The 8,443-nt window shown below is 47.4% G+C and overlaps 3 annotated features.

Moving 5' to 3' along the window:
• Positions 2,687–3,212: an enhancer, noted in NCBI's record as "H3K4me1 hESC enhancer chr10:82459171-82459696 (GRCh37/hg19 assembly coordinates)". NCBI's record gives its function as "activates a minimal SCP1, AML or CMV promoter by ChIP-STARR-seq in naive H9 embryonic stem cells {active_cell/tissue: H9 hESC(naive)}" and the evidence as "EXISTENCE:reporter gene assay evidence [ECO:0000049][PMID:30033119]".
• Positions 2,687–3,278: a biological region, named in NCBI's record as "H3K4me1 hESC enhancer GRCh37_chr10:82459171-82459696".
• Positions 3,019–3,278: an enhancer, noted in NCBI's record as "active region_3671". NCBI's record gives its function as "activates an Ori minimal core promoter by ATAC-STARR-seq in GM12878 lymphoblastoid cells {active_cell/tissue: GM12878}" and the evidence as "EXISTENCE:reporter gene assay evidence [ECO:0000049][PMID:35858748]".

Consider the following 8,443-nt stretch of genomic DNA (forward strand, 5'->3'; position numbering starts at 1 on the left):
ACTGCAAAGACTTTTCTCCTTCCTCACTTTCCTTTTCTGTCCCTGTCACCAAATAAAAGCACTTGCCCTGGTAAAAACACATTGCAGGTCATGTTTTACCTAGGTCAGTATCTGTGTCTTGGAGTCTTGTTTCAGCTTGGGGTGGCCCAGGGCACCTGTGAGAAGGGAGAGGAAGTACACAGAAAACAAATCCATTCATACTTGGAGTCTAACCTGCCTCCTCAGGACAAACTAGGTGCTGCCCACGCCTGGGTCTTTGCGTTTTTAAGGGAAAGGCTGCTGCTACCTGATTTAATTTTTGTTCCCTTTAGGAATTGGCTGGCCTGAGGACAGATTCCTCAGTGTCTTTGTGATCACCCCTCTTGGGTCCCTGGGCACCGTCTCTGTTCCTGGGTCAAGCTTGTTCTGCCTGGTTCCCTCTCTGCCCAGGAGGAGCCCCTGTTCCTCTGTTCACTGTCTTCAAAATAGGTCTGGATGCAGCTTAGGCTCAAGCTGAGTGATAGGGTTTGGCTGTGTCCCCACCCAAAATCTCATCACAGGTCAAGGGCGGGACCAGGTGGAGGTAATTGAATCATAGGTGTGGTCTCCTCCATGCTCTTCTCATCTCACGAGAGTCTGATGGCTTTATAAGCATCTGGCATTTCCCCTGCTTGCCCTCGTTCTGACCTGCTGCCCCGTGAAGAAGGTGCCTGCCTCTTCTTTGCCTTCCGCCATGATTGTAAGTTTTCTGAGGCCTCTCCAGCAATGCGGAACTGTCAGTCAGTTAAACCTCTTTTCTTTATAAATTACCCAGTCTCGGGTATTTCTTCATAGCAGTGTGAGAACGGACTAATACACTCAGACCTGGCACTCTTGATTTAAATGAGATATGATTTTGAATGATTTTGGTATGTTTTAATGAAATTATACTATTTTCAATACAAAATGTATTAAAACTGAAAATATGATTGATTTTATAAATCTTTGGTAAACTATATAAATAAGTTCACATTTCAGAACTGACTCCCCTCCCTCCCTCCCTTCTTTACTTCCTTCCCTCCCTCTTTCCTTCCTTCCCTCCTTCCTTCCTCTTTTTATCCTTTTTAAAAAAATTAATAGCATTTTGGTTCAGAGAAATGGCCACTTTACCTGTAGAGGGACACCTGCAGCACCCATCCCAGTTGTGGCTTGATTGATCAGCCCTCCCTCTCCAGCTAGGAATCCACTGCAGCTGCGGAGTCTCTGCTCTTTGCCTCCAGAGAAGCTGCATCAAGCAGATGGATGGGCACTTTCCAGCTTTAGAGGAAATTCACTTCAGCAACCCCAGAGCAGTTTGAGAAACAAATGTGTCTGTTGTAAACATCTCACACAGTCATAAACTGCAGCCTCTCTTTAGAGCCCCACAGAGACATGACCCTGCCCTTCCCTGACCCCTGCACTGTGGTTTATGAGTAGTTTTCTCTGCAAGGGGGAATTGGTGACTCTCTATCAAGGATGAAGAGAAGCAGAAATCCAAGCAGGGACCTTGCAGGGGCCTCAGGCAGGTCCTGCCAGACTGTGCAATGTAGACGATTCAATTCCACTTGGTCCAATGACCAGCACTGTGCCTGGAACTGTGGTGAGAAGCCAGATGTGTGGGTTCATGCCAGGCTCTGCCCTCTGTGAGTGTGAGTCCACATCCAGGCCCATGATTTTATTATAAAATCATGCTTCCTGTCTGACCTCCATGTAGGCTAAAGTCCTGTTTCATTGAGCAGCAACTGACTTTATTATACTAAGATGATAGATTAGTTTGCCAGGGCTGCCATAACAAAACACCACAGACTAGGTGGTTTAAATAACAAATTTATTTTCTCATGGGTCTGGAGACTGGAAGTCTGTGATCAAGATGTCAGCAGGGTTGGTTTCTCCTGGGGCCTCTGTTGGCCTGCAGAAGCCCTTCTCCCTGTGTCCTCACATGGTTCTCTCTGTGCACACACACCCCTGGTGTCTCTGTGTGCTCACATTTCCTCCTCTTTTAAGACACTAGTCATATTGGATTAAGGCACATCCTAATGGCCTCATTTTAACTTAATCACCTCTTTAAATGCCTCATCTCCACATATCCACATATTAAAACATATGAAACATGAATTCAGCCCATAACAGATAAGAAAGAATAGGCTTAGAGGGAACAAGGAGCAAAAAAGAGGAAAAAATAACATTTATTAAGTGAAATAGAATAGACCTGGGCATTTCAGGTATAATAACTGTGAATAAATATGTGTTAAATATGTGAATATTATTGATTTTACTCCTGAGAGTTAAAATATGTGAATATTATTGATTTTACTCCTCTGAGAGTTACTGTTATGTAGGAATTTGTTATTTTGCTGGGGCTTTGATTTGAGTCTCACACTCTTCGAATCCCATGGGTAGGAGGGTTCGGGAACTGTCCAGAACCCTCATCTCAAAAGGGCTCAGTGCTTATATACACCCTGTCCAGAGGAAATGGTATGTTCTAGCAACATCTGAGCGCTTGAGAACATCTACAGACACCCGGGGCCACCATGCTGTGAGCCCAGCACCTGGCTCTATCTAGGCAGGTGTGCAATAACCTAGGTCGGCACTTTCTCTTGTTCATAACAGCCCTGCACCATCCTGATAGATGGGGAAACTGAGGCTCAAAGAGTTTAAAGAATTAGCATCCCTAAGCAAGGAGTGACATGAGAGTGACCTGGGAGAAGTCAGAGCCCTGAGAATCAGAACAAAGACAAGTAATGCAGATAAATAAATGAACAATCCTGCTACTGATTGATCCTGTGAAATGTCCAGATGCGGAGACCAGTGCCCACGGCACAAGCTTTCTTTGGAAGGCGAAGATCTCCCCTTCCTGCTGGCCAGGGTTAGGGTTGGAGGAACTTGAGGGGGACCAGGGGAGGTGGCCTCAGGGAAGCCCAGGGTTGCTGGTGCCATCGCCAAAGAGGAGACTTTCGGTCTGTCCAGCAGGTGGCGCCGCGCAGCTGAGTATCCGAGGAGAGCAGGCTGAGGCTGGAGAAACCGTCTGCCCTAGGCTTCTTCCCAAATTGCATGTCCCCAGCAGGGGACTCTGCACTGCTAGGGCTCCTGTCCAGCACGGCATCTTCTCTCCGGGGGACTGGGAAACAGGGTGTTTGTCCTCACCTAGAAAACGGCCTCTACGCACACATCTGCTGGAGAGAATAAAGCTGCCGCGTGGCCCTGGGCTTGCTGGCAGGCAGGGGTGGCTGGTGGGCAAGGCTGGGGCCAGCCAGAATGCTCTGCTCCCAAGCAGCCTGGAACTCTCCCTGGAACAGGGCGAAAGCCCCCTAGTAGCCAAAAAAGGAAGATTCTCCCTGGAAACCTGGGCCTGTTCCCCAGCAGCTGGTCAGTTTCATTTGCTCCAAAGCTGCCCCTGAGATGTGGAAGTCTTGGGATAAACCAATTAATTGTAAACATTTTCTTAAATATTCCTGTTTGGACTTGAATTGGTATGTCTAAGGTCTTTCCTGTCCTGATAGTCATCCCTTTGTACGGTAGCATGTCAGCCATAGTGTGGCAGTTGCAGGTACAGGGGCTGGATCTGAATCTAGACACTTCTATGACTTGCTGTGTGATACAGTGAGTTTCTTAACCTCTCTGTGTCTCAGAGCCCTCTTCAGTAAGATGGAGATGGTAACAATTCTTATCTCATGGGTTTACTGTAAGGATTAACTTAATAAATATAAAGCACTTAGGGACAGCGTCTGACAGGCAGTTATTAGAGCTAAGTGGTTGTTATTACCATCAGCTGAGCATACAGCAATTTTCTCAACTAAGTCACGTCACACTAATGCAGGGCATGCAGTAGATTTCCAATAATGCCGAATGGGATTTAAATGGGGGAAAGAGCTTCTAGCAGGGAGTGAGGAGTGGGGCAGCCTATATTGGTGGATGGAGGGCACCAATCAAGGGCCACAGGGATACCCATCCCCTTCCCAGAGAGAGAGAGCTGCTCTTTACGCCACCAGGCCTGAAACTCCAGGCAATTTGGAAGGGCCAATGTGTCGGGGAGAAGAAAGGGAGAGATGTGAGTGCTGTGGCTTCAGCTGGGGGTGCCAGTGGCAGACTGGGCTACGCGTCGGGATCCGTGCAAGGGAAATAGGAATAGAGTCTAGCTCCAAGGGAAGGACAGGCAGGAACCATGCCACCCAGGAGCACAGCCAACCACCAGCCTGGGGGGAAAACCAGGGACCAAAGGCCAGAGCTGGCCAGGAGTCAGGTCCCACACAGAGAGGGCAGGGAAAGAGGCTCAGCTGGACACTGGAGGCTCCAGTCCCCGTAGTCACCCCTGAACACCTGACAGACTTGGGAAGAGCCATGGGCCAGGGCGGGGCTGACAGACACACTGCAGCAACCTCTGTGGGCTGCAGCTGCCACATAGGTAGGTGCCTCCTGGAGGCCCCATCTAAAGCCAAGGGTCATCCCTTTAATGGCTGGATCCTGAGCAGGGAGTAGGGAGGGGCTTGGCAGCCAGGCCAGCAGGTAGGTGGATTGGGGCAGTGACTTTTTGTCAGCCAGCTTGGAAGTATTTCATCAATTTCACAACCAGCATATCTGTGTCCATGTGCCCGGCTGGGCCCCAGCCCTAGTCTTTTTTCCACCCTGTAGTCACCTGATTTGCATTGGTCTGAGGGAGCTGAGAGGTGGGCAGCTGGGGAGGCTGGCACTGAATGACATCCGCATATTACTGCATTCCCACTGTGGTGGGATGTGTCTCCAGAAACGGCAGAGCCCTGGCAGTGAAGAGTAGCCCTGCACTAGACTGCCTGAATTTGAGTCATGATTCCACCACTCCAAGCTGCGTGACCTTGGGCAAGTGACTTGCCTTCTCTGTGTCTCAAATTCCTGCTTCCTGTTTTCTAAACCGAAAACAAAATTAGTACCTTTCTCACAAGATGCTATGAGAATTAACTGAGCAATGTGTGCAATACATTTGGAACAGTTACTTATACCTATAGTATTTAGAACTATTCAAAAAGCAGTAACTTTTTTCATTAAGCACACGTTAATTTTGCATCATCTTCCAAAGTACATAGTTCCTGGCCTTAAGGACACATATGTATTTGGGAGGGAACTGTGAACTCTGCCTCTGTGGAGTACGAGCAGATGAACCCAGGGATCAGAGAGGGAAGGGGTTGACCCAGGCCACAAGGAGGATCAATGGCAGAACAAGGGAGGATCCAGGCCTCCTGAGGCATGTCAGAGTCTTCATGGGTGTAATGTTTGATATGGGCAACCTGCTTTCTTTTCTTCCCTTCCTCCATCTAAGCTGATGCTTGGACTCTGATCTCCAGGGATGAGGAAGAGCTGACAGTGGAAATAGCAAGTCTTTATGGATTTACTTTCCAAGGTCTTAGCCTCAAAGGAGAGAAGGAATTTGAGGCAGACAAGATGAGCAACTGGGACAAACCTGCAGGAAGGATTTCCCCTGAGACTAGAGGGATCTGAGGCGAAAGTGGGAGGACTGTGTAGAACTTGGTTGTGGGCCAGCACCGGCTGCCGCTTGGTCCCCATGCCTGTGTTTTGTCATGAACTGCATTTCTGCAGGCCCAGCATTCTCTGTGGCTATTTTTTGCTGCAGAGATTCAGGCCACGGAGGAGGCTTTTTGTCTGTACACCCTCAGCAATGAATGGCCACAGCAGCTGCCTGTTACAAATGCCTTCCTCTTTCTGAGCTGCTGGCGTGTGAAGGGTTTTATAGGCGGCCTTGCTTCAGATGGAAATAGAACAGCTCTGAACTTGCTACCTATTACCTAGAAGTCATTTTCTGTAGTTATTCCCTTTGTGGCACCATCAAGCATGCACACCAGTAGCTGTCGAGGGTTTGGATATTTAACCAGCTCGTGTTCACACGCATGTGGGTTTCGCCTGTGCCTCTGTGAGACCTCTGGCTAGTACCCATGTGTGTTGGATCTCATGTGGCCTGTTCTCATTATTGGTATTGTCATTACACTTGAGACTGTGTGAGGGGCCGGGGTCCCAGTGCAGTCACCTCAGGACCCAGAGCTGACCTGAACAGAACTTCAGTTTTTCCTCCCCCAAGGGGACCCAGAGCTGACCTGAACAGAACTTCAGTCTTTCCTCCCGCAAGCTCATACATTACTATTTGTCACCCACAACTCAGCATGCATATTTTAACCAGTCCATTTTGGAATCCTTAAGAGGGAAAGAACATGACAGCACTGGACTGAACAGGAAGACAGGTCCCTGGTGAGATGGAGTGAGGGTGATGGGTGAGGGTACATCAGGTCCCTGAGGAGCCTGGAGGGGAAGGGGGCAGGGCCACCAAAATCAGATTTCTTGGATTACACTGCAGAGGTGACTGAGGAGTCTCCCAACACTTTACAGGGAAGTAGGAAAAATCCAGGCTGTAAAACTTTCTTTCAAAACATTTTGGAGGTTACTTTCCTTCTCTGTTTGTTTTCAAGTGCGTAACAGTGATCAGTTCCTTGCTTAACCTTCCTTTATCTGTCATCTTAGGACCAAGGTTGGCTGGGGGGCTGGTGTGTCAGTTAACAGGCAACATGCACAGAGCTGCCTGCCTGGCGCTGGGCCCCGGGTAGCTCCATTCTCAAAGACGTTGGACAGAAGCCCTGCGCAGAAGATGGTGCTGATGCCATTGGAATGGTCCTGCTCCCGGGTCACAGAAATGAGGTGGAGGAGGTATGGGGAGGAAAGATAGTGTCAAGCCCCTGTTGGTTGCTGTAGCAACATTCTGTAATGACTGGAGATCAGTTGCAACAGTCTAAATTTTATTTGCTTTTATTTTCTCTTTGGGAGTAGCATCATGGCTAAAAATAAGAACAGCAGAAACCCACCGCTGGGCTGGTTGGTGCAGCTCCGGTGCCTTCCCGAGTCTGGCAGGTCCACAGCAGAGGACAGAGAAACGGGGGTCTTTCAAGCCAGTGTGGTGAGAGACAGGATGGGAAAGAGCCATGTGGAGTTGGTGGGGGCACCCCTGCCAAGCTAGTTAGCCTGTTTTGTAGCCTTGTAATTTGACAGCCTGGTTTCTCCAAGGAGCGAAAAATCAATAGCGCTATCCACACACACTCAGCTTCTGACCACTTTAACTTCCATAAAGAGGCATCGAGGAAATATTGAGTTAGAGGTGAGGCACAGAAATTCTGCTGTGGTGGAGTTCTTGTGGGCCGGAAGGTAGCTCCTTCAGGGTAGCCTTTTAGCATTTGTTAGCTGCTGTTTCTTTCATTTCTTTTAATTTTTGAATATGCAAATTCCCCAGCATATACAGATGTAAGGAGAATAGTATTCTGTACACTGGAGCCAGCTCATTTAGGATGCTTGGAAAAAAAAGTGGAAGACCAAAATCTCTGCATCTAGGCAGAGAAAAAATGCTCCACCTTTGATGGAGTTATTTCTGACACACTGTGAGATCTCCTGGTTCATCCCAGTGCTACTGCACTAAAATCCTGAGTTAACCTTTAAAAAGAAGAAAGTCCTGCTGCTTGCGACAACATGGATGAACCTGGAGGGCATTATGTTAAGTGAAATAAGCCAGACACAGAAAGACAAATACTGCATAATCTCACTTATAGGTAGAATCTGAAATAGTCGAACTCATAGAGTCAGGGAGTAGAATGGTGGTTGGGAGGTGGGGAAAATGGAGAGATGTTGGTCAAAGAGTATGAACTTTCAGTTTTGCAAGATGAATAAATTCTGGAGATTTCGTGTACTGCACGGAGACTGTAGTTCACAATACTGTATTGTATACCTGAAATTTACCAAGAGTATAGACCTTAAGTGTTCTCGTCACACACACACACACACACACACACACACACACACACACGGTAACTATGTGAGGTGATGGACAAGTTAATTAGTTTGATTGTGGTAATCATTTCACAATGGAGATGTGTATCAAAATATCAAGTTGTATATCTAGACACAATTTTTATTTGCCAATTATACCTCAATAAAAACTCTAAAAAACATGAAAAGCGGTCATCTATTTTACCACAATTAAAAGAAAAATCACCTTTTGAGAAAAGGCTACCTTGGGCAGAGGAGATAGCAGGGCATGAGGAGGCCATGGATGGAGGCTTGGACCCTGGTGGCAGCTGGAGTGGAGAGAGGTGGAGGAAGTTTTGAAATATTCTGAAGTCATTGCTGGCAGGATTTACTGGGAGATTAGATACAGTTTGTGATGAGATTTATATATAATATTAGAAGAATGATGTCATGTAACTAGCATGACCATTAAGATATAAATAATAACTATAAAGTATGAACCTATAATTTATTCAAATATTGAATCCCTCTCATTTTACCACACTGCATTTTTTTTTTTAGACTGAATCTTGCTCTTTCGCCCAGGCTGGAGTGAAATGGCGCAATCTCAGCTCACTGCAACCTCCACCTTCTGGGTTCAAGTGATTCTTCTGCCTCAGCCTCCCAAGTAGCTGGG

This window comes from Homo sapiens, chromosome 10 (assembly GCF_000001405.40).
Source record: "Homo sapiens chromosome 10, GRCh38.p14 Primary Assembly".
NCBI lineage: Eukaryota > Metazoa > Chordata > Mammalia > Primates > Hominidae > Homo > Homo sapiens.